Here is a 26,583-nt window from a genome sequence, read left to right on the forward strand (position 1 = left end):
AATACCTTAGTGGTGGCGATTATAATCTAGTTTTTACTTTAAGTTTTCATCATCTTACCACTCTTCAGCATTGCACAGAACAGCATCTGTAAGACTATGTATGCTATCCCAAAGGCGTAGAGGTTTGAGGAAAGAAAGGAAGAACTTATTTATGCCTTGAGGTTTCATGATGATGAAGGTAGGGAGGGAGTTTTCCAAGAATTTGTGAAATCACCTTTCTCAAATATAGACTTATTTTATTACTTGGGGTACTATTAATAAAAAATCGTTTATAACTTAACAAAAATTTAAATCTACTTTTTTCTCCTAACCCTTAGAAACCTAAGATTGGAGCCTATCCCCTTTCCAAATGTTTTCCCACAGCATTACATCCCCTATCGTGGAGTCCACACATACGGATCTGCTTTTGGTGTGTATTTTAGAAAAAAGTTTCCACCTAGATCCTGGCCAAAGTTGCAAACAGTCAAGTGATGTGGAGGTTTTGTAGACACATGTAACCATCTGGCAATTCAGATATGTGGCTGTCAGTTTTCTCTGTGGAATGCGTTCTGGTTTAAGATGACCTAGAAGAAATGAAAGTTGTGTTTTTGCTGGGGAGACATGGTGCTGTGTCCAGTACATTCTGTTAACAGATCTGAAGCTTTAGGAAAATCTGGAGCTATGTGAGTGAAGAAGGAACCTTTTGGTACAGTCTTATGAGAAATCCAGCCCAGTAAGTTTGAGTGTGACTTACCAGGCAAGAGTTGTCTTTTTCCACTGAAATTCAGGCTAGACTTATGGCTTTACATCAATCTTAGTGCAGCAGAGACAGAAAGCTGTAGGGAGGGGGCAAGGGCCAGCCCTGGAGAGACCTTCGCTTTATTTTCAGGTATATGATTCCCATTTAGGTGCCAGCTAATCCTATATTGCTCTCATTTGACCTTGCTTCTGGGGGTTTGATTTAAAGGAAGTCAGAGTGGCCTAGCATAATAAATACCTGTTAGAGGAATAAAAGCTGTATTTGCCCCCTTTGAGCCTCAACTCGAAGGTGTTTCAGATCAAAGGTGGGGAGGCAATGTAACATAGTCACTATGAGTTTGGCCTCTGGAGTTAAGTCCTGACGTGTTAGCTTACTTGCTTTCTGATACTGGGCAGGTTACCTAATCTCTCTGGGCCTCAGTATTCTTGCCTGCAAAATGGGAGTTATACAGACTTAAAGGTTGTTGGGAAGGACTGAATGAGATTAAACACATAGATAATGCTTAGAACAGTTTCTCACACATACTAAGTATTCAATACTTAGTTACTGTTGTTATTTCAAGGACAATCTGGTGGTAAAACCTTCCTTGTTAGAAGCATTGATGTAGCCAAACACAGGGTCATTAACAACTAGCAATGTATGTAGGGTCCTTTCACACACTCATGCCTTATGGCAATGTGGAAAGAGGGAGGGAGAAAGGCTTGAAAGCCCTTTTCTGTGATGGCCAGCTGCTTCTCCTCCCTTCATTATTATCCATCCACCAGGATTAGCCCTGGTGTCCTCCTGACCTCTTTCTCCCTTGTTTTATTTAGAAGCAAGGTAATAGTCGAGTTAGAGAAACTGAGTCTGGGAGTCGGGAGAGGATTTGACTCGGGTTGGATATCTAGGCAGTGGCCCGGGTTAAAAAAGCCAAATCTCATGGTATTTTCTTATTCTGAAATTTTATATTACTGGATATTGTTTGAAATCAATGGGTTATTAGAATTTGTGTGTGATAGAGATTTGGACTACACGTAATGAGATTTGCTGTAATAGTATTTGACTAGTATTAGAATTCACAATCCCTGGGTTTCTCGTGTGTCCTTAGATTTTAAGTTATACAGACAGTTTTACCCTCTTGCCTATGTGAGACAAATCTGTGAACCTTCCCCCATCTGTGTGTGTCACAGTCCCACAGCATGATGGATTGTCTCTGCTTGGGGGAAGCTTAGGACGGGGCTTGAAGGGGCCTTGTAGGTCAGAAGAGAAATACAGCAGCAGGACTGAGATGGGGGGGCTGCCTGGGGAGGGATTAGCAGGGGGAAGGGGAGGGCAGGGTTGGGCGGGGCATAGTGTCTGTGTGCATTCTCCTAGGAGTAAAAGAGGGCTGTCCATTACCCTGAACGCACAAATAAACTCAGTGTTTTTCTCTTTGTAGAGAAAAAGCCCCATGGGACTTGGGAATACCAGAGAATGACTCTGCATGTCAGTGGGAGAGGTGGGGAGTAGGAGGATGGGAGTGGGGAAGACTGACCCTGTGCCTGAGGACCTCGGATTTGAGTCTGTTATTTAAATAGAGTAGCTCATATTTGAAGAGCCTCATGCCCACACATGTTTGTAGCAGAAATAGCTGTTGGCAGCCAATCATCTGATACCTCAGTCTCTATCAACTCCTTCATGGCTCCATTTAAAGGAAGGGTTCAGCTCACCTTTGGAAGTAAAGTGTCACTGAAGGTCATGCAGCACCCAATTCTCCTCCCTCTCTGTCCTCAGCCCTTCCCACATATAGTCACAAAGGTGTGTACTAGGTAGGAAGGGAAATGCTGAATGTTCTTAATTTTTGGTTCTTGAAGGAGAAAGTCTGGGATTTAGGTCCAAATGCCAAAATCATGGTTCAGAAGGAATTCTAGAAAAGGAGCGGAGTCTGAGAGGTCGCTGGAGTGGTAAGGGCAGTGGCGCATGCTCGGCTGAGGAATCAGCAGGACTGCAGTTAGGGCCTAGGCTTCAGCTTCCTTCCTGAGCAGTAAAATTAAAAAAAAAAATCCTTAGAACAACAAAAGTCTGGACGCATGGGCTTCCTTCCTGACAGGCCAACCTGGTGGGGCTTCATTCAGACTGAGCAGCAGTCAAGGCTGATTTACGGGGAAAAGAACCCAGACATGGGTTTAACCCTTTCCTAACCACAGAGATGCTTCATTGCAAATGCTGCCTTCTCCTTCTAACTTACCATCATGGTATGGGGAGATTTTTATTGTCATTTCTTCTTTATTTAAAGTGAGTGCCTGCTGCTGAAGTACCCACTGTCCTCTTCATGAGAAAGCTGAGCCTATGAGAAGTTGAGTGACTTGTAAGAAACTCAAGTCTGTTGCTCATGGCCAGAATAGCTCTCAGGCTCTTGAGGACATTATATTGACTCTGTAGTATTGAATCCATCTTTGATCGTGGGAAGTGCCTCCTGGAGTCTGTACTGGGGTGCTGCTGTGAGCCCCAGTTTTACCTCCATAAGATACTGGTCCCACAGAAGGAATAGTACTGCTTCATCTTAGCTGTTTGTTGGTGGCAGTGGATAAAACTGTCGCAGAGTATGTGAGACATGACTCAGTTGCCATATCATTGGTCAAATGTGATGCACTCATTGGTTTAATCATTCAGCTGTATTTACTGCATACCTACATTGTTCCAGGCACCATGCGAGGTACTGGGAATAGACTGATGTGCAAGATAGATTATAGCCCCTGCCTTACTGGACTTCAAAGTTTAGTTAGCAATTGTAGGATGCTGCGAAAAGTGCTGTCATAGGGGAAATATAACATGCCATGAGACTTAGAAGTTGGAGCATCTAATCTTGTCTAAGAGTCAGGGATAGCTTTCTGGAGCAAGTGACCTTTACGCTGATATCTGAAAATCAAGAAGGAGTTATTTATTCAAAGGAGCTAGGGGTAGCAGTTGGCTTTTTTGGACAAACTGTAGTATCTGAGAGTGGAAGAAAGAACTCCAGAATTGCCAAGGATTGCTCACAGTGAAGTGAGAATAGAATTGTTCCCTGGCAGGGCCTGAGACCTGACCTTGGATGTCTATAGCACTTCATCCTATAACCAGGCATTCTTGAGAATATCCATTTGGTGCTTATGTGGCTCTGAGGCTCATCATCATCTAGGGTCCTGCTTTTAAAGTAACTTTCTAAAGATATGTCACTAGAAAATGCTTTCTGATAACATATGCTATCTTAACCACCAGAGGACCCATGAGCACCCAGAACCATGCTTGGCACAGAGTAGATACTCTGGAAATATTTGCTGAATGAAGGAGGGCCATTGCCCTGCTGATGTTTAGTGAGTTAGATTAAGGGTCCTCATCTTTTTACTAAAGTTCAGGCTTAGCTCTATCCTTTGCCCTACCCGGAAACGTGACAGGTCTCAGGGCCTAGAGTACTCGCTTGGCCGTTAAACTAAGCCACATAGCACCCGGGATTCTTGGCAGAGTTTCTTGGCAAAGTTTCCTCTGGGAGGTGCATTGCTCAGGCTTGACTTTCGCGAGGGAGGTTAGGCATGTAGTGCCAAGAGTATTGAAGAAGGAAAAAAAGAAAGCGAAGCAAACCGTTGTTCTAGCCTGGCACACGTCGGCATGCTAAAAACAGTTCCTTCCAGGCGGGGCCTCTGTACTCCACCATCCCCGCTGTGGTTTTCCTTCCCTGGCCTCTTATCTTCATCATCGCTCTACATCCACGAACATTTCCTGAGCTCCTGTGTGTAGAGCGTTGTGCTCGGTGCTGTTTGCAAGGGAATCAAAGAAGTAGGAGATGATACTTCCTCTTCTTGACAGCCTTATGGTTAAGGTGAGTAGCTAAACTGTATATATGAAAAAGAAATGATAATGTAAAATAACAGACAGTAAGGGCACTAGGATTTCAAGAGAGAGAGAGAGTCATCCCTGAGGCTGGCTTTCCCAGAATGTGATCTAAGGACTGCCTGTTTCAGATCACTTGTGCTGGTGATAGTGGAGGATGGGGACAGGGATGGGGGTGGGGTGAAGAATGTTATTTATAATGCAGATTCCCAGGGCCCACACTAGACTTCATCTTCAGAATCACAAGGAATACAGCCTAAAAACTGTGTATTCAGCAAGTAGCCATCCTAGGTGATTCTTGTTTTCCTTAAGGTTTAGGAATCACTCATCTAGGGTGAAAGTCTCGGGGGAAGGTTTCACCGAGGTGTTTGGCCTTGCAGAAAGGGGAGTGAGGACTAGTGGGGAGGAAAGGAGAGGATGGAAACCCACTGAGGAGTCTGGGCAGGCAGGGGAAGGGTGAAGACCCAGCATCTGCTCACAAACAGTACCTTCCTCATCCAGTCTCCTGTCTTGGGGAGGATCTGTCCACCTGTCCCGGCTCCCCCTCTGCCACTGCTCCTCCTCGGATTGCCTCCCTCTGCCTGTCTTATTGCTGATCAAGTGACTGTATGTGCCCAGACCTCCCCTTCTTGGTGCAATATTATTATGATGAGGTGGCCCAGCGGAGGGTCTGGAGGTGCTTGGCCAGATGTGAGGGAGGCCGGTGTGCGCTGCGGTGCCCCTTGGGCTCCAGCCCGCTTATCTTCTCACTGCTGTTGCTCTGCCGAGAAGGGGCTGGAGAGGGTTTGGTGTGTATGCTTTGCCAGCCTCCTCTGTCCTCTTCCGCAACCCTTGAGCTTTCATTCAAATGCTCATTTGTAAAGAAATAAAAGTTGGAGGGTTAGAGGAATCTGTCAGTGTCAGAATTAGTCACCAACACCTGCAGATTGGCTTTCTGCTTTAAGCTTTAACCCTTCCAGGGGGCAGCTGCCACCGGGTAGAAGGTTCAGTGAGCCGTGACTAGGGGCTTGCTCTGAGAGGTTCAGGGGGTTTTGGGTACCTGCACAGTAGGGGATGCTCTCGTCAACTTTGCTTATGGAGTTGGGGATGGTATTTTTCCCCCAACATAATTCCCCCTTTAAAAACACTCATCACATTAAATTGTAATTATTTGCTTAATTGTGCCTCTCCCATGGGCCCATGTCTGTCTCCCTATGTGACTCCATCTAGCGTGTCCCCTCACGTAGTGCCTAGCTTGGTAAATACTTGTTGTTAAAGTAAATGAACCCAGGATCACTGTTTCTTCTGCTGAGTTTGCAGAGTTGCCAGCTGGCTCTACTCACTTGGACATAGTCTGAAGGGCCACACAGGATCCACCACAACACTGGGCACCTCCTGGCATGTTTACAAGTGGGAGGTGGTGACTAGAAATAGAGGAACGGTTCAGCAATAGGGCAACAGCACAGTCAGAAGCTCTGGGCCTGTCATTTACTAGCCGTGTGATGCTGGGTAAGTCTCTGTTTCTCTGAGCCCCAGCTCCTCATATATAAAATGGGAGATGGTAGATAATCCCTGCCCTACCCTACAGGGTTGCTGAGTAAATAGATAATCCAGATGTGTTTTGTAATCTAAAAGTAACCGTATAAATGCCATACCCTCACATACACATAGGTACATGCAAGATGTCTATCTACGTCTGTCTCAAGAGCAAAATGGTCTTTGGGGGCTAAAATAGTTTATGAAATGCCTGAGTGTTCAACCTAGAGGGAGCCCTCTGACATGCCATTCCCTCCTTGAAGCTGAGCTACAGAAGACAGTCTGTGTTCCCTGAGACCGACCGCAGCACTATTTTTCTAGGTGTTTTGGGGCAAAAGTTACCCAACTCTTGTAGACTTTTTGTGAATGTAAGTTGGCAGGCTGTTTTCTATACAGACATCTCAGCTGAAATTTTATTGGCTAAATCCCCACTGAAAGAAGTTTACCCTTTGCCTTTCTTCTCAGCAAAGCTCGGAGCATCTTTATTTTTCTGTTTCCAGGGCCAGTGACTCTATTCCTATTTTGTGGAGGGAGATGTTTTGGCTCAGAGGCACAGTGCTTTGGCCTGAGGAATGATAGGCAGAATCAAGTCGAAGAGGGCTTTCTGCCCTAGAGATCTTTCCTAGGCTGCAAGAATAGCCATGCTTTATTGGCCAGTATGACAAGATGAAGAGGTCCCTGTCAGATTTGGAAGGGCCTGCCCCTTAGGCAAGATCTTTAGAAGTTAAAGCTGGGCCAGGAGGATTGGAAAGAGCAAGAATTTGAAAAAGGCTTTACTAGGCCAGGTGTGGTGGCTCACGCCTGTAATCCCAGCACTTTGGGAGGCTGACGCAGGAGGATCACCTAAGGTCAGGAGTTCGAGACCAGCCTGGACAACATGGCAAAACCCCATCTCTACTAAAAATACAAAAATTAGTCAGGCATGGTGGCACACACCTGTAATCCCAGCTACCTGGGAGGCTAAGGCAGGAGAATTGCTTGAACTCGAGAGACAGAGGTTGCAGTGAGCCAAGATTGTGCCACTGCACTCCAGCCTGGGTGACACAGCAAGACTCTGTCTCAAAAAAAAAAAAAAAGAAAGAAAGAAAGAAAAAGACTTTACTTGTGCGGTAAACTTCATTGTGTGATTATTTAATAGACCAGTAACAAGCAGATTCATTAACAAGATCTTAATTAACAAGTTCCAGGGTTATTCCTCCAAGTTCCCAGGGGTCCTGTTCTCCTCCCATTTAGTCCCAGAGACTTCCTATCCACCTTAAACTAACCAAGCCAGATGCATTTAAATTCAGTCTTTTTATTGCAAGTGAAATGACTGCAAGCAAAGAGAAGAACATAGTATCACTCCTAATAATAATAGCTGACACTTCAAGCACTTTCTATATGTCAGGCACTATTCTGAGTGCTTTACAGGTAATAATTGATTTAATCCTCATAAAATCCCTACGAGATAGGTGTTATCTCCATTGTACAGATGAAGAAACTGATGCACAGTGTTTAAGCAATATGCCCATTGTCACACAAGCAGGTGTGAGAGAAGAGGTTCAGATCCAGGCAGTCTGACTCCAGAGTCAATGAGAAGGAAGGACACTCCAGGAGAGGGAGACCTATGGGTCAGATTCACGAGGTAACAAGAATAATACTTGTATTTGTTCACTGTGTGCCAGACACTGTTCTGAGCACTTCATATATGTATGTCAGGCTGTCTCCATACTCGAAAAATTGATAGGAGCCTTTTGCAGTGTGGCAGCCCTTAGGCACAATTTATTTTGGCCCACTCACAAGCCCTTTTCACCCTCCCTGCACTGTGAGTTCCTTGAGATGGGAACTGTGTCTTATTCTAAGATCTCTGTTCCTAGTACCCAGTGCGTTGCCTGGAACTTACTAGTTATGATCTAAGAAAAAAAGTTTGTCAAACATACCCTTTGGTGGGATGGGAGAAGATGATTTAGTATCTGCTAACGCCCAATGTGCTTTACAGACATAGTAGTTTAAGAAGAGCTAAATCTGTGAGACGAGACAGATGCACCTACTCTTTCTGTGCCTCCATTTCCTCAGGATAAAGTGGGATGAACACTAGTATCAATCTCTTAGTGGTGTTATAAGGATTAAATGAGTTAATAGAAAATACAAATAAAGTCCTAGGAACAGTGCCTCGCACAAAGTATGCCTTCAATAAATGTTAGCTATAATTAATATGATAAGGGGTTGGGCACAGATTTGAGGTCTCTTAAACCAGGCTCCTCCAACTCTTACCTCTACTCCTAATTGCATTATGGGGACAGTGACTCCAGCAAGCCCTGAACTCTTATAAGTCTGTGCAGTTTATGACAAGTCTTCCTACGACTGAAAAATCTTCCAATTGATATTCAGGAGTTGGTACCTATAATGTTGTTTTTCCTTCTTGGCTTCAGTTATATGGGGGCTGGAGCAGGGATGAGTTTAGCACCCACCCAATGACCACCTTTTTAAAATACCCGAAAAGGCACAGAGTGGAAATGACTAGAATTCTACACTAAACTCCTACCCGAGGAAGGACAGTAAGCCAGAAGGAATTTTTTCTGGGTTTAGTAAAGGGCTTGACGAATCCTGTTCTATGCCTCTGCCTGGTCAGCCAACTCAGATAGCAAGTCTGTGGACCATTTACTGTTCACCAGCTATTTTGAGGAGAGGATGAGGAGGTGACAGAATGCCTAGAATCACTGGGAAATTTGAACTGGGAAGGAACCATTGCAGGCTGCTTTATTTTTCCAATTTTCTAATAACTTACATAATGCTTAAGACTGTGTTTTCCCCTTTAAGGGGAAAAAATTGCTTTTGCTCTATTTAGAGCTCATCACATTTGTACATTCTACAAATACTCTTCTCCTAAATCTCAACTTGATGACTTCCAAGCGCCGTTCTCACAGCTGGCTGCTTTCGCTCCCACTCCACTATCCCACCCCGCCCCATCATCTTTAGTTAACGATGGATGCTCACAAACCCCCAAACTGGCCTCCCTCTTTCCGACTTCGCATCCTTGTGTTCTTTCTAAGTAGCTCGGCCATAATATCACTTTTCTTTAGCAGCATTCTAACTTCTAAGAGGCTTAATAGGCAAGGAGATTGTGGGGTCTTTGACTTCCTCTGCGTCTTAGCCCTAAGTGGTTTATTCTATTAAGCTGATTCTTGGTGGTGGATAGAGCTTTGCTGGATAAGAAGTTGGGGTCGGGGAAAGTTGCAGTTGGAGGAATTGGATACTTTCACTCCCCCTTCCACTGTGCCCCACCCTCCAACCCACTCCTGCCCCATTCTGTTTTTAGAGCTTTTGAATGAAGGAAGTGGTGATGAAATTAAGTAAAGAACTCTTCTTAGAGGACTTAAGAGGTTGACATTTTCCCCAAAACTGTCTTTTGCCTCCTCACCTCTTCCCTCCCTGCACTTTCATTCCTACTCTTCAGTCTGCCACTTGTGGATTTTTTTTTTCTTTCCTTCCACCTCTACTTTTGCCTCCACTCCAACACTAGCTTAAAAAAAAAGCTGGGGGGAGTAATGAATAACAATTTTGAGCAATTGTTTTAAAGAGAGGAATCCTATCCAGGTATGGAATGTAGAAAAAAAATAACAGATAAGATTTTAACAAAAGAAACAATGCAAATTCTTCCAGATGTTTTCTCCTAGCATTACACCAAGTTAAATATATTCCTTCTAATATTCTGACCCAGATGAAGGATTTTCAGGTGTCCCTATTAACATTCTCTCTTGGTTCAGGAGGGCCAGCAGGCTGGGAGAGCAGAGGAAGTGTCTCTTCTTTATTTAATCATGCTGAGCTGCAGAGGAAATCGTAAGGGACATTTGTGAGCACGAAGAATGATATTAGAGAAGTGAGAAGGGGAGTCAAGAGTGTAAGTGTAGAAAAAGAAAAGTACAGGACAACCTTCACAGGGAAGGTGGGAAGAAAACCAAAAGTAGCCAGAGAGCTGAAAAGAAGGAGGGAAAACTTGAAGATGGAGGTGGGAAGATGGCAAATGTGAAGCATTTCAAGGAATTGTTAGTAATTTGTTTGATGGCCTACAGTTGTTGATGAAGGAGTGGGGAAACAGGGTGGGGACGTGTGGTTGGTAGGCCTATAAGGCAGCAGCAGAGTCTCTTTGGAGGGCCTTTCAACAATGTCTGTCTATGAAAAATTTAAATACAAATATCCTTTGATGGGATTCAACTTAAGAATTTATCCTGCATATATTGGGTTAAGTACTTAAAGATGTATGTTCTTTATAATGTTGTTTGTAATGTGAAAAACAAACAATCTAAATGTACATTGATAAGAAATTGGTAAAATAAATAATGATATATCTATGTTATAGAATACTACATAGTGGTTAAAAAAATGAGTTAGAGCCGTAAGTGCTTATATGTAAAACAAGATACAGAGAGAAAAAAAAAAAAACCTCATAGAAAAAAAGATACATTCATGTCTATCTTTATATATGCATATAAAATGTCAGAGAGATACATATGAAACTGTTAATGCTAGTTTCCCCTGGGAAGTATGACTAGGTAGGAAGAAGCGAGTAAGACTTTTTCTTGTATGCTCTTCTGCGGTATTTGAATAGTTAACATGTGATGTATTATTTCTATAATTAAAAAATTTAGTTTATGATTTTAAAAAGTTAATTTGGAGATGCTGGAACAGGAAAAGGATATTAGGAAAAAACTAAGGAAATCTAAATATAGTTAATAATGTATCAATATTGGTTCATTAGTTTTGATAAATCTACCATATTACTAATATATTAATAATAGTGACAACTGGATGAAGAGTATATGGAAACCCTCTTCTACTATCTTTGCAATTTTTCCATAAATCTAAAAACTATTCCAAAATAAAAGTTTATTTTTATTTATTTTTATTTTTTATTTTCTGAGGCAGAGTCTTGCTCTGTCTCCCAGGCTGGGGTGCAGTGGCATGATCTCGGCTCACTGCAACCTCCGCCTCCTGGGTTCAAGCAGTTCTCTGCCTCAGCCTCCTGAGTAGCTGGGATTATAGGCGCCTGCCACCACACCTGGCTAATTTTTTTGTATTTTTAGTAGAGACAGGGTTTCACCATCTTGGCCAGGCTGGTCTTGAACTCCTGATGTCGTGATCCGCCCACCTTGGCCTCCCAAAGTGCTGGGATTACAGGCGTGAGCCACCACGCCCAGCCACCAAAAGTTTATTTTTAAAAGATGATTCAGAAGACTGTATTATGGGACAGGCTTATAACCTAGCATTTATGATTGAATCTTGGAGAGATGAATTGATAAAACTGAATGATTCCTCTGGTTCTGTAATTACTACTTGGTTCTATTTCTTCCAAATGGTCAAGTGGATGGGATTACAGTCACAATTGCTGGGAAAGTGTCTGATTTGTGTGTGTGCGTTGACAAAATTAGTTTTCTTTTCTGAATTTGTTTTTTCTTCTGAGTTAGTTTGTAAAAAAGGTTAACTGATGGTTATTTCAGTTTTACCGTCCAAAAAGCACAGACTGGTCTAGGAGCTATATAGTGAAGGTAGTTTAAAAATGAAATAAGACGGCCGGGCGAGGTGGCTCATGCCTGTAATCCCAGCAGTTTGGGAGGCCGAGGTGGGTGGATCACAAGGTCAGGAGTTCCCAGCCTAACCAAGATGGTGAAACCCTGTCTCTTCTAAAAATACAAAAAGGTAGCCAGGTGTAGTGGCCTGCGCCTGTAATCCAAGCTACTCGGGAGGCTGAGGCAGAGAATTGCTTAAACTTGGGAGGCAGAGAGATTGCAGTGAGCCGAGATCATGCCACTGCACTCCAGCCTGGGCGACAGAGCAAGACTTCATCGACTTCATCTCAAAAAAAAAAAAAAAAAAAAGAAGTGGTCAAATGCTTGCTGCTTTCTTCAAGTGAGCAAGATGGGGTAAACAGCAGATGTGAGTGCTAAATGGAATTCCATTTAACCAGCTCTGTTTGTGGCTATATCTATGAAACTTTTTCTCCACTTAAGTTGGCGCTAGAGCCACATAGGAGTGGGCAAGAAGACTACATCCCTGGCCATCTTCTGAGTGGAGTCTCTTCCCTCCTCATGCACCAGCAGGCCTGGTGGTGGCCATCGGCTCTGTTTGTTGCAGGATCAGAGTCTGGAGAGCACAGAGCCATTGGCTCAATATGATATGTGCTCATTGATCCTGCTGCTGATAGTAAGGCATGGCTAAGGCCAAATATAAGGCATTTTCCCTTTGAATTAATTCACATCTCAGCCAGAGGAAGGCACCTGGGTTTTACCTTCTCATGTAGTAGAAAGGGAGATCTCTGGGTCCTGCTCCCAGTTGGCCCTGGCACCCAGCTTGAAAAGAGGGATCCTCTGTAATATTGGCTGCAACCAACTACTTCATCCTTCTTGGAATTCCCCTTACCGTGGCTTCTGCGACATTATACTCCTATTGTTCTTCCACTTCTTCAACCATGTTTTTGCTGTCATAATACCCTGTGTTTCCCCATGTTAAAGCACTTTGAATTTTTTTTTTATTGTGATAAAGTATGCATTGGGGAGGGGAACAGGATCCTGCTACTCTGTAGAGGCATTTTAAAACAACAGTCAACTAAAAGTTGGTCTGCTTTTGTTTGTTTTATTTATTTTTTTGAGATGGATTCTTGCTCTGTTGCCCAGGCTGGAGTGCAATGGCGCGATCTCGGCTCACTGCAACCTCCACCCCCCAGGTTCAAGTGATTCTTGTGTCTCAGCCTCCTGAGTAGCAGGGATTACAGGTGCCCGCCACCATGCCCAGTTAATTTTTGTATTTTTAGTAGAGACAGGGTTTCACCATGTTGGTCAGCCTGTTTCGAATTCCTGATCTCAAGTGATCCTCCTGCCTTGGCCTCCCAAAGTGCTGGGATTACAAACGTGAGCCACCATGCCCGGCCTGTTTGTCTGTTTAGAAGCAGGGTCTTGCTATGTTGCCCAGGCTGGAGTGCAGTGGCTATTCACAGGTGTGATTATAGTACACTACAACCTCAAACCCCTGGGCTCAAGTGATCTTCGTGCATTAGCCTCCCCAGTAGCTGGAACGACAGGTGTGCACCACCACAAAACGCTCTGGTCTGCTTTTTAATATCATCATGTGCTGGCAATTTTAAACAATGTCACTTGGAAAATATTTCTCCCCACAGAAATATTTTGTTGGTATAAGTTTGAAAAAAATGCTGTGGTTACTCTTGAGTTTTGGTATGTATGTAAGTTTCAAATTGGCTTTTCTTTTTTTTTTTTTGAGTCTTGCTCTGTTGCTCAGTTTCAATTTTGAGTCTCTCTCTGTTGCCCAGGCACTGTACCCAGGAGTGCAGTGATGCGATCTCGGCTCACTACAACCTCCGCCTTCTGGGTTCAAGTGATTCTCCTGCCTCAGCCTCACAAGTAGCTGGGACTACAGGCGTGCGTCACTACACCTGGCTAATTTTTGTATTTTTTGTAGAGATGGAGTTTCACCATGTTGGCCAGGCTGGTCTCGAACTCTTGACCTCAAGTAATCCACCTGCTTCAGCCTCCCAAAGTGCTGGGATTACAGGTGTGAGCCACCATGCCTGGCCAAATTAGCATTTTTAAATTATTTGTCCTTTAATGAACATTGTCATCTATAAGGGAGAATTTGGAGAACTTCCAGTTGTACTGTGGGCCCCTGACATTGGCAAATTCAGCTTGATTTGGGTAAAAGTACGTAACAGTTCAGAATCAGTTGAGCTTCCACAGGAAACAGTTTGTGTCTCCAACTCCGGTGACACAGCATATTCCTTCCTGCATTCATGCAGTATATTCAAAATAAACAATGACAGCACATGAACTGTAAAGATGAAGACATGAAAATTGGAGTTTTTTCCAATTCTGCAGTTCTTTGTGACCACTTGGAGTTCTTATATGTGTTTAAGTTTTAAAACAGTGAAATAAACTGTGAACTGCAGGGTGTAATATTTTTGTTTGGTAAGTGCAAATTTTAGTTTGCCCAGTAAATAGTTTACTAAATTTGAACATCTTTAAAAATAAAACATAATGGCCAGGTGTGGTGGCTCATGCCTGTAATCCCACCACTTTGGGAGGCTGAGGCCTCCTGAGGCCAGGAGTTCAAGATCAACCTGGCCAGCATGGTGAAACCCCATCTCTACTAAAAATACAAACATTAGCTGGTGCAGTGGTGCATGTCTGTAGTCCCAGCTACTCTGGAGGCTGAGGCAGAAGTATTGCTTGAGCCTGGGAGGCAGAGATTGCAGTGAGCCGAGGTTGTGCCACTATTCTCCAGCCTGGGTGACAGAGCGAGACTCTGTCTTAAAAAATAAAATAAAATAAAATAAAACATATTTTTAAAATCATTAACTGCTTATATTAAAATTAAAGAATCAAGAAAAGTATTATGACTGATTATTACATGATTAGTTATTTGTCATTTAAAAAATGACCTGCTGTGTCAAATATGTTCCTTGGAACATATTTGAATTGGAATGCCCTTGGAATGATGTTTGAATTGAAATATGAAATGATGAGCCAGGCACAACTATGTAAGGGTTTGGGAATAGGGGGTCCTGGAATGTTTGAGGAGGAGAGAGAAGGCCTGAGGGCTGGGACAGAATGAATTTGGGAGAATATGGTAGGAGATGAGATGGAGAGGAGCCAGACCTCTGTAAATCTTTTAGGCCACGGAGAGTTGGATTTTATTTTGGGTTCATCAGGAAGCCACAGAGTGTTTTAAACATAAATCACCATGTTGTGATTTATCACTTCAAAAGATTACTTTGGGCTGGGCGCGGTGGCTCACCCCTGTAATCCCAGCACTTTGGGAGGCCGAGGCGGGCGGATCACGAGGTCAGGAGATCGAGACCATCCTGGCTAACACGGTGAAACCACGTCTCTACTAAAAATACAACAACAACAAAAAATTAGCCAGGCATGGTGGTGGGCGCCTGTAGTCCTAGCTACTCGGGAGGCTGAGGCAAGAGAATGGCATGAACCTGGGAGGCAGAGCTTGCAGTGAGCAGAGATCACACAACTGCACTCCAGCCTGGGCGACAGAGCGAGACTCTCTTAAAAAAAAAAAAAAAGATTACTTTGGCTGTTGCGTGACTAACAGATTGATGTAGGGAAAGTGTTAGTAACAGAAGACTTGTGAAAAGGCCATTGCACAGTAGTTTGAAACCACCTGGGCAACATAGCAACACTCCATTTCTAAAAAAAAAAAAAAATTAAAAATTAGCCGGATGTGGTAGCACACACCTATAGTCCCAGCTACTCAGGAGGCTGAGTGGGGAGGATCGCTTGAGCCTAGTAGTTCAAGGCTGCAATGAGCTATGATTGCACCATTGCACACTAGCTTGGGCAACACAGCAAGATCCTGTCTCTTAAAAAAAAAAAAAAGACGAGGAAGGAATAATGTCTTAAAGTTTTTGAAATATCCACAGTACTTTTCCCATAGTAGGTACTCAATAAATGCCAAATAAATAAATTTATAAAACGTGAAGTGCCTAAAAAAACACCAAAAAATCTGCAACGGAGTGCGACATGCTGAGCAACATGGTGCTAGTCCAAGAACATTGACTTTGGAGAGCAACAAATTGGGCTTTAATTGCATTTCTGATACTTCTTAGCTATGTTGCTTTGGGGCAAGTAATTTAAACTCCCAGAGCTTGGGGCTTCCATGTCTGCACAATGGGAATAAGATGACTCACTGTTTTGTTTTAATGAACAAATTAAATGAGATAATGTATTTATAACATGGTGCCTGATTTATGGTAAGCCACTCAATAAATAGTGACTATTATAGTTAGCAGGACATGAGGATACCTTGAGACTGTGGTCAGTGAAACTTCAGTGTGATTACAGCCATGGGGAACAAGGCACCAGCGTTCCTTGGGATAAAGAGGAACACTTGGGACCTTTTCACAGTTGAAACTCTGTCTCCTGAATCTAAACTTGTGCTGGCCTTCAAATAATTGGATTTTCAAGTCTAAAGAGGAAGAAAAGGCCAGGCATGGTGGCTCACGCCTGTAATCCCAGCACTTTGGGAGGCCGAGGTGGGCGGATTACTTGAGGTCAGGAGTTTGAGACCAGCCTGACCAATATGGTGAAACCTCGTCTCTACTAAAAATATAAAAATTATCCGGGCATGGTGGCATATGCCTTTAATCCCAGCTACTCGGGAGGCTGAGGCAGGAGAATCACTTGAACCAGAGGTTGTAGTGAGCCAAGATCGTGCCGTTGCACTCCGTCTTGGGTGACAGACTGAGACTCCATATCAAAAAAAAGAAAAAAGAGGAAAAAAAAAATGGAAGAAACCTTTGGATAGGTTAGGGTTAGAATCTTTTCTCTCAGCTCAGTTCTTCCCTCTGATTTTAGGAGGAGTCAAATCCCTCTCCTTCCATTTCCAAGTTTAACAGAATCGTCCTAATGTATATGCCTCCTTGACACACAAAGTCCCTGAAGCAAGTTTCCACTTTTCTCTGCAAAAGCTCCCTGGAGCGCAGGGAGCTCTTGTCTTGTATCTAGTTAAATGCCTCGATTAAGGATGTAATCATAGTTGTTTGGCTCTGTAAATCATTTGACCCTCACCTAAAGCAGCCTGGGCCTCTGGGGGGCCCAGCAATGACCATTCTGAATCTGGGAGGACAGAGTGGAGCTGGAGATGGCTTTCACCCTTAGTGGAAAGACAGCCAGTTTTAGGGGGGGTAATATATTTTTCTTTTTCCCTAGGTTTTCTTGTCGAGATCGTGTGTGTGCTCACACACACACATGTGTGAGCAAAAGAGAGAATAAAAAGAAAGAGGAAAAGGCCCAACAGTGTACAGCAACTGCTAGCACAAAGGCCAGGGGAGGGACTTGCAGAGAAAGACAAGGAAGTGATTTTGCCCAGTTTAAATCCCACTTGAACCATGTGGTTTCTGAGTCCTGAACCTTTTGAGGTTCAAGTTGAGTGCACTCTTGACAAAACATGATTTTCTGGTTCACATCAAAAAGGCTTTAAAAGACTTCGAAGTCTTTTCCTTAGGACATCAAACAGTCCACAACAAAGCAGGGTGCTGATGAGATGCGTGCAAATGAACAGATTAAATTCTCTCCTGAGGATTAGATTCTCCTTAAGAAGCATGTGAAGTTGGAAACTTGGGAGATGGGGCAATGCCAAAACATACTCACACTCTTGGGACCCCAGAGCGCCCTCTCGTCTGTTTACCCCTGGCACCTCCCTGGGCCTGGAAGCTGACCTTATTTGTTATGAAGTTCACACAGAAGTGCCCAGGGAATTAGAAACTGAAAACAAACTCTTCAGGATTCTCTATCTTGCCTAAGGCAACACTTATGTCCCCCAGTAAAAGGTGTAAATTAACTTAGAAAAGATAGGTCATTCCTTTGAAAAACTGACAGTTGTTTGGGTGGCTTAGAGCACAATTTTGCTTATTGAACGAGCCTCAATCTTCAGAGAAGTAAGTATTTAGAAGACTACTACTGCCTTATGGCAAATGGAATAGCACGCTTTGGGAGTGGCATAGCAAACCAACCAATGCGGTAGACTTTCTGTTTCCAAGTGAGCAGCTAAAGCTAAAGTCGATTGCATAGACACAGCTGTGGGTGGGCCAACTGCATGAGCACAGTTTCTGAGCCAAGCCGCTAAAATATTAATGATTAGCTTTAAGGAGGAGCAATTCTGATTGAGGCCACTCTCCTGTTAGAAACCATAATTAGCAATTAAAATATATTCTAAAAACTGTTCCAACCAGCAGCTTTTAAATAAATAATTGTCACTGCTGATTGAACTTGTTTTATTTCCCTGTGATTTTTCTTATCTTCCCCCACCCCACCCCGCATAACTTACAACCCTGTAAATGCTCAGTAGCTGTTAATATGAGTCTGTCAATACATTTACCATGGTGACTTGGGCTGTATTTGGCGAGCATTTGAAGAAATCAGTCACTGGTTGGAGGGAGGAAAGACAAGCTGTCGATATCCAGGGAGAAATGCTAATAACCCTGGTGACAAATCGTCCTCTGGATTCTCTAAGGGTTAAGAAAAAGCACCTCTTAGACCTGGGAGCTCAGGGGTAAGGGATGGTGACTTGTTAGGAAGTGCAGACAGTAGCTGTCATGATCTGCAATGTCCTTTTCATTGTCTTGCTTTCAACCTCTCAAAACCACAGATGAGTTCTGGAGACAGACAGGCCTGGATTTGAATCCTGATTCAATCCACTGTGTAACTGTGTGATCTTGCAACCACTGAACCTTCATTTTCTCATCTGTAAATTAAAGATTGTAATACCTGGCCTCATGAGGGGTTGGGAAAGGCCTTAAACAGAGACACTAACTTACTGTTTCTCAAACTCTTCTGGGAAAATACACATATAGAAGAAAACTAACTTCTGCCCTCCAGCATTGCAATCGTGTATACAAAGGATCAACTATTAGAAGTCTTGTTTTTAGCTTAAATTTTTGTAAATTTTGTACTTTAGTTTGTTTTTTTGTTTTTGAGACAGCATTTTGCTCAGTCACCCAGGCTGGAGTGCAGTGTTGTGATTGTGGCTCACTGCAGCCTCAGACTCCTGGGCTCAAGTGATCCTCACACTTCAGCCTCCCAAGTAGCTGGGACTACAGGCACACACCCTTACACCTGACTAATTAAAAAAATTTTTTTGTAGAGATGGAGTCTCACAATGTTGCCCAGGCTAGTCTCAAACTCCTGGGCTCAAGCGATCTTCCTTCCTTGACCTCCCAAAGTGCTGGGATTATAGGAGTAAGCCACTGTGTCCGGTCTGTACTTCAGTTTTACTTTGTCAAAATAATGTTTTAATATGCCTATCATTAAGTAAAATTGGTACTCTGGTACGATTCATTAATTCGAGTACTTATTGAATACCTACTAGGTGCCAGGCAATTTTAGGCCCTCCGGATACAGTAATGAATAATACAGGTAAGGTCTAGGCTCCCATTGAGCTTACAGCTACATCAGCCAGGGAACCTAGTACTGGATGTTTCTTAGGTGGCCTGTGACCCATTTAAGGAGACAAAAACCCTATACCAGAGAATCCTATGGACAACCTCCCGCTGGCTATCTGCCATGATTTTTAGAGGAGAAAGAGAATAAAACACATAGACAAAAATCATTAGTATTTTGGTATGTATCATTCCAGCTTCCTTTTAATGAGTAGATAATAAGTAGATCAGTGTGTTTTGATATAAGTAGGGTCATACCAAATGCTGATTTGTTACTTTCTTTTTCACTTTTTCATTTATTACAGATACTACTGTATGTCAACATAAATCTCCATCACCATCACTACTCTTAAAAGCTTAGTATTCCATTGCAGGGATGCATTACATTTTATTTAACCAATCTCTGGTTGTCTAATTAGGATGTTTCCAGCTTTTCAATATTAGAAACAACATTACAGAGAACATCTTTGTGAATTTACTTTTGTCAAGCGTCTGATCATTTTCTTAGGATATATTCTCGAAAGTAGAAATGTTAGATAAAAAGGTAGGCATATTTAAATCTTTATGCCGCTTGCCGGATTACCTTTTTCTTTATGCTGTTATCAACACATTATGATAAATATTTTTAATCTTTGGCAATTTAGTAGACAAAATGGTTTCTTATTTATTTAATCTGTATTTCTTTAGTTACTAGTGAAGCTAAACATTTTTTAAAACACTTATTGGGATTAGTTTATCTTCTTTTTTGAATTGCTTATCCATGTCCTTTACAGGGTTTCCATCTTTTTCTAATTGATTTTAAGAGCTCTTTTTAATAGGAAGGATATTAATCTTTTTTAATCTATAATATTTGTTGCATTTTTTTTCAGTTTATCATTTGTCTTGGTACTTTAGGGTGGTGGAGCTTTTTGTTGTTGTTGTTATTTGTTTTTATTTATTTTTATTTTATTTTATTTAGTTTTATGCCTTGTGGAGCAGGGCTACCCCATAGGCAGTGTGTCCAGAATAGCCTTAAGTTTTTACTTTTTAACAAGGCATTTTATCATTTTTTTTTCCCTTTTGGCTTATCCTTAGAAAGCTGTAAGGCCACTTCTAATGAATCCCTAAAGCTATTCAAATGTGCAGTAGTTATCTCAAAGATAGTCCCCAGTTTTGGAAAAAAAATCTAGATCCTAAGTTCCTGTGGATGTCCACTCAAAGGGAAGATGAGAGGTACCAAGACCTGACAGAGGAGGGCCATAGGGTTTACAGCTAGTGGAAAATACAGACAGACCAGTCGTTGAAATAAAATGTGATGAGTGAGATAAGAGAAGTGTAGATGCTAGAGACGGGAACAAAAGGGAAACCTAACTGATCCAGGGACACAGGATATGCATCCTGGAGGAACAGATGCTCAAGTTAAGGTTTTGTGACTGAGTAGAAGTTAGCTAGGTGAAGAGTGGGGAAATACATTTCACGCAGGTAAGTAGCAAATGCAAAGACTTACAGTCTAGAACTATAAGTCATGGTAGCCACTGGCCATGTGGGTATATTTACATCTAAATTAATTAAAATTAAATAAAATTAAATTTTTATTTCATCAGTCCCATCAGCTACAGCTCAAAGGCTGACTACCCACATGTGACTAGTGGCTACTATATTGGACAGAGCAGGTACTGAACCTTTTCATCATTGCAGAGGGTTCTGTTGGACAGCTCTGTCCAGAAAGAGCTTGATGCATTCAGGGAACTGAAAAGGGTTCACTCTAGCCAGGTATGCAGTGTGCAAGGGTGGAGAGTGGCAAAAGATGAAGAGGACATGGCAAAGAATGGAGGGACTTAGTCAAAGCTGACCCTGGCATTGGGGCTAATGTTCCTAGCCAGTTGCTATTACAGAGAAAGTAAAGAGGAAATAAATTTAAAATTTACTGTTTAACAGCCCTGCAGGTAGACATTGTCTCCATTTTATATAGTGCAGCTGAGACTCAGAGAATTTAAGACATTTGACCAATATACAGCTAGTTAGTGGCAGAGCTGGGATTCAAAGACAGACCTGTCTGATGCCAAAAATCTGTGCTCTTCCCTTTTTGTCACTCCAGCAGACTTCAGAAAGCTCTACCCAGTGATCTCTTAGATCAGGATGGAAAGAATTCTGACTAAGAACAGACACCTTCTCAACTTGATGCTTTTTCTGTTGAGGCAGTATTAATCATGGGTGAGCTTGGGACCCAGCATGGAAGTAAAAGAGCTTAGAGCAGAGCTTTCTTTGGAGCTGTGCCTCCTGTTCCCTGAGTCTCAAAGAAAAACTCCTCCAGGTGCTCCAGAGGCCTTGACATTAGCCAGATTCAAGGATGAGCTCTTCCCAGGTGCTAACCCTCAGATCAGGACTGCATTGCCAAGGAGAGCCGCTGGCCTGCGGAGTCCCATGTGAAGCCTGTCAAGGGGGACCCCTGGACATCAGAATATATGACTTGGCTCATCCCCTCACCTAGAACCTGTTGTGATGGCCACTTCCAAGATATTATCATTGGAAAGAAAGAATGCTGATCCCCAGTTAAAGGGGGGAAATCCTTGCCCTAGTGCAATCCCATCTTGTCCAGCAGTTGAGAGAATAGTGTGTCAGGCCGTGCCTCCCCATCCCTAAGCAGCCATAGGGACTGAGGCTTTTAATTTGCTGTCACAGCTCCAGGCATTTTTCTGAGCCAGGAAAGTCATGCCTGGCAGGATGTTAAGGAGAATATTACCATCTGAATGTGAACTCTGGATTAGTCAGTCTCCCTAAATTCAAGATCTAGTATTTTCTAGGGTAAATATGGTACCTTCACATTTTCTAAGCTGGCATGAGTGAATGGCTATGTGGGAAGATAAAATGCATGATCATACAGAACAGGAATAATAAAGGGTGTAAATCTAAGGAAGAAGTAAAAGACGCAGTCAACATGATAGGGAGGAGGATGAGCCTTGGAGATGAGCAATATTCTGAAAGAAGAGAACATTTTAAATGGATGAGGAGGGAGATACTAGTGGCCTCTGCCTTGAAAGTAAGAAACATTTGTGGAGAACTGGGGAGGAAAGAATTGAGGAGCAGCTGGAAACTTAGTGTATGAAGAAGGTTAGTGATCTCAGTTAAATGTAGTGCAGAGAATACTCAAGACATGATAAGAGGAGTCAGCAGCATTTCATCATTCATTCCACACATTTATTGAGTACCTACTATGTGCTAGGAGCCATTAGGTCATAAGAATCCAATGTAAAGGAGACCTGACTTCTACCTTCAAGCATCTTACAGTTCTTATGGGGAACACAGATATGGAAACAGCCAAATACGTTACATTGAGGTTCACATTTTAAGAGGAATAAGTTATATGGTATAGTTCACAGGAGTAGCACCCAGCCTAGAATTATTAGGTCAGGAAACCCTTAAATACTGTCTTTATACTAATGAAACCCAAAATTATAACTCTTAACCTTGACCTTGTCCTCTAAGCTCCACACTGGTGCACACAGTTGCCTACCTGATGTCCCCAGTTGAATGTTGAAAAGACATTTCTTTTTTTTTCTTTTTTGACACAGGATCTTGCTCTGCCACCTAAGCTGGAGTTCATGGCATGCTCATGGCTCACTGCAGCCTCGGCCTCCCTTCCTCAAACTCCCTAGGCTTAGGTGATCCTCCCACCTCAGCTTCATGAGTAGCTGGGACTTCAGGTGTGCGCCACCACGCCTAGTTAATTTTTGTATTTTTGGTAGAGATGGGATTTCGCCATGTTTCCCAGGCTGGTCTCCAACTCTTGGGCTCAAGCAATCCACTCTCCTCAGCCTCCTAAAGTGTTAAGATTACAGGTGTGAGCCACCGTGCCCAGCCTGCATATTATCTTAAAAAGAGTCCAAAGGAGAGCTCTTGATTCTTTGCCCCGCTGCCGCACCACTCACACTCTTTTTTTTTTTTTTTTTGAGACAGGGTCTCCCTCCTGTTGCCGAGGCTGGAGTGCAATGATGTGGTCTCGCCTCACTGCAGCTTTGACTTCCCAGGTTCAAGCAATCCTCCCAGCTCAGCCTCCTGAGTAGCTGGAGTTACCGGCGTGCACTACCATGCTCAGCTAATTTTTTTGTATTTTTAGTAGAGACAGGATTTTACCATGTTGCCCAGGTTGGTCTTGAACTCCTGGGCTTGAGTGATCTGCCCATCTAGGCCTCCCCAAGTGTTGGGATTACAGGCATGAGCCACCATGCCTGGCCTACCCCTCTTTAAAAATAAACAAAGCCAGAAATAATCTTGCTTCTTTATGTCTCCCCATCTCAGATGATAGCACTGTTGTTCACCCAATTGCTTTGGCTGAAAAGTTAGGAACCCTCCCTGTTTGCTTTTCCACTCTTGTACCCAAGGGCCCTCTTACTCCACCCTCTTGCCTAGTGGAAATAAGACTTCTCAAATAACTGGTAGTGGCCCAAACCACATTGAACCATTTCACAATTTTGAGACCTAGATATTGAATCATTAGGATCCAGAACAAATATCTCTGCTGCTGAGCTTCACTCATGTGTATCTGGCTGCCTTCTAGACTTTTATTCTTGGATGTCGTGTGGGCACTGAATACTCAGCAGGACCAAAACCAGATTTACCATCTTCTCCCACTAAACCTGTATCTCCCTTTGTATTGCCTATTTTGATTTATCATGCTAATGTTATTCAAATTAGAAACAGGATCCCTCCATTACCTCACCCCTTATAACTAATCAATTTTCATGGCCTAACAATTCTGCTTAATAAATACCTCCATCTGTCCCTACTTCTTTTCCCATAGTTCATACTCTCCTGCTGTCTTAGCACACTGTTGCAGTAGGCTCCTAACATGCTCTGGCATTAGCATCTGCTGTCTTCCAGTTCATTCCGTATACCCTACTGATAAAGGTCTTGCTAACATGCAGACTTGTTCATGTCACCTGCCTACCTAACACCCCTCATTCCTATCACAAAAAAAGCCCACAAGTCTTCAGCCTCCCGTTCCAGGCTCTTTTCTCACCATTCTCCTCTTAGCTTTTCATTTATAAGCATATCTTGCAGTATGTAGCTGTTAATGAGTATTTTGGTTTTTTCCCCAAGTACATTTTTTTCTTTTATATTTTGAAATGTTGCATACATACAGAAAGGTGCACAAGACATGTGTACAGTTAAAAAATTATATGATGAACACTCATGAAACCACATCCAGCTCAAGAAATAGAGCATTAGCCAGGCACGGTGGCTCACACCTGTAATCCCAGCACTTTGGGAGGCCGAGGCAGGCGGATCGCCTGAGGTCAGGAGTTCGAGACCAGCCTGTCCAACATGGTGAAACCCCGTCTCTACTAAAAATACAAAAATTAGCCGAACATGTTGGCGCATGCCTGTAATCCCAGCTACAGAGGAGGCTGAGGCAGGAGAATTGCTTGAACCCGGGAGGTGGAGGTTGCAGTGAGCCAAGATGGTGCCACTGCACTCCAGCCTGGGCAACAGAGCAAGACTCCGTCTCAAAAAAAGAAAGAAAGAAAGAAATAGAACATTTCCAGCATGTGAGAAGCCCCTTGTATGTTTCTCCTTGATTATAACCCATCCTCTCTTACTTAGGTAATCACTATCTTGACTTTTATGATGATTACTTTTTTGCTTTTTAAAATAATTTTATCACACATGTAAACATCCCCAAACAATATAGTTTTGTATTTTGGGACGTTCAAATGAGAGAGATCATGTTTTTTTTTGTACTGTTTGTGTTTTGCTCTTTCTGTTCTTCACTAAGTTTGTGAGATTCATCCATATTATTGCATGTAGTTAGAGTTCTTTCATTTTTATTGCTGTGTAATGCCCTAATTTCCTTTCTTTTCTTTCTTTCTTTTTTTTGAAATGGGGGTCTCACTCTGTTGCTCAACTGGAGTGTGGTGGTGCAGTCTCAGCTCACTGCAACCTCCATCTCCCAGGCTCAAGCGATCCTTTGTCCTCAGCCTCCTGAGTAGCTGGGACTACAGCCACGCACCACCACGCCAAGCTAATTTTTGTATTTTTTGTAGAGACAGGATTTCGCCATGTTGGTCAGGCTGGTCTCAAACTCCTGGACTCAAGCAATTTGCCTGCCTCAGCCTCCCAAAGTGCTGGGATTACAGGAGTGGGCCACCATGCCCGGCCTACCTTGATTTCTATATCCATTCTGATGGTGATATACATTTGGGTTATTTATAATTCTTTGGTTCTTATGAAAAATGCTGCTATAAACATTTTTATGTGTATCCTGGTGTACAGGGCCTGAGTTTCCTGAGGGTAGAGACCCAAGAGTAGAATTGCTGCCTCCTGGGGAAAGTGTTTCTTCAACTTTACTAGCTAATGTCAAACTGTATTCCCAAGAGGTTCTACCAATTTGTTCTATTTTTAGCAGTATATAAGAATTTTTGTTGTTTCATGTTCCCACTAGTACTTGATATTGTCAGACCTTTTAATATTTAATCATCTTTCTGGATATATAAATTTAGTTTTTGTCTACATTCCCGTGGTTACTGATAAGCTAGAGCACCTTTTCATATGTTTATTGGCCATTTAAATGTTCTCTTTGGTGAAGTGCCTGTTCAATGTTTTGTTCATTTTTCTGTTGGGTTGTCTCTTTCCTAATTTCTTCATGTAGGCTTAGTATTTCTTCTGTTCAACTATTACAACTCATTAATATCTCCTATAAATATATATTCTAACTGATCTCTGTATCTCCAGTCTCAAACACTTTGATTCCATCGTCTTCATAGCTACCAGAGTTCTAAGAGAAACCCTGTTGTTGTAATTCCCGTCCCTAAAACCCTTCAATGACTCTCCATTGCCCTTGAAGTTAAGAGAAGGACAACATGGGCTGTGAGATCCTTGATCATCTACTCTCTAATTTCTTACTCCGGCTCTTGCTAGATCCTCTCAACTCCCTCCCCCTTCTTTACTGTAACCCCCATCTCTACCAATGCTTGTTGCTCCTTAAACACATAAAATTGTTTTACACTTGCATTTGCCATGGTTACCCTTTTTCTTCCCTTTACTCTTAATTGGGAGAATACCTGCACATCTTCTGAAACTCAACTCAAAGGTCCGCTCCTCTATAAAACCTTTACCAACTCTCCTTCTTATCCCGCCTCAATCCCTCCATCTTGTATTCTACGAAACACACTGTCTTTATTTCTAGCAAGGCACCTGTTTATTGCATTTATTGGTTAATATGCCTGCCTCTTCCATCATATTATACATGAGTCCTTTCAAGCCATGGGAAGCCCCTTGAAGGTAGAGGAATTGCTTCATCATCTTTTTGTTCTTGCGCCTAGCACAGTGTCTGGCACAGAGCAGGATATGATAAATAGTAGTAATTGTTATTAATGTTATTACTGGTATTGGGTATGATTGGGTGCCAATCTGTTTTCCTTATTAGACTGTAAATTCCTTGAGGAGCCTGGTACTTGGGTGGCATGTGGTAACATTTGTCTAGTGAATTAATAACTTATGAAAAACTTCTGAAAATCACAATTGCTTTAAGCAGTATTTGGAGTAGGAACATAAAAACATGAGTATTAACTTTGCAGAGAAAAAAAAG

At 42.6% G+C, this 26,583-nt stretch overlaps 1 protein-coding gene across 15 annotated transcripts in view, besides 1 other annotated feature; it reads left to right on the forward strand.

The window, feature by feature from the left end:
* RNF220 (ring finger protein 220) overlaps nt 1-26,583 on the forward strand; it is a 246,942-nt gene that overhangs the window by 14,804 nt on the left and 205,555 nt on the right. Inside the window, exon 1 of one of the 15 annotated variants that reach the window (NM_001319957.2) lies at nt 4,415-4,553. The exons of the other annotated variants lie outside the window; for them this stretch is intronic. The gene's annotated coding sequence lies outside the window, so the exon portion shown is untranslated. Of the gene's footprint in view, nt 1-4,414; nt 4,554-26,583 lie in introns of those variants that run through there. 15 annotated transcript variants of the gene reach the window in all.
* Nucleotides 16,767-17,268: an enhancer, noted in NCBI's record as "NANOG hESC enhancer chr1:44902025-44902526 (GRCh37/hg19 assembly coordinates)". NCBI's record gives its function as "activates a minimal SCP1, AML or CMV promoter by ChIP-STARR-seq in naive H9 embryonic stem cells {active_cell/tissue: H9 hESC(naive)}" and the evidence as "EXISTENCE:reporter gene assay evidence [ECO:0000049][PMID:30033119]".

The sequence above is a fragment of the Homo sapiens genome, chromosome 1 (assembly GCF_000001405.40).
Source record: "Homo sapiens chromosome 1, GRCh38.p14 Primary Assembly".
NCBI classification, from domain to species: Eukaryota; Metazoa; Chordata; class Mammalia; order Primates; family Hominidae; genus Homo; species Homo sapiens.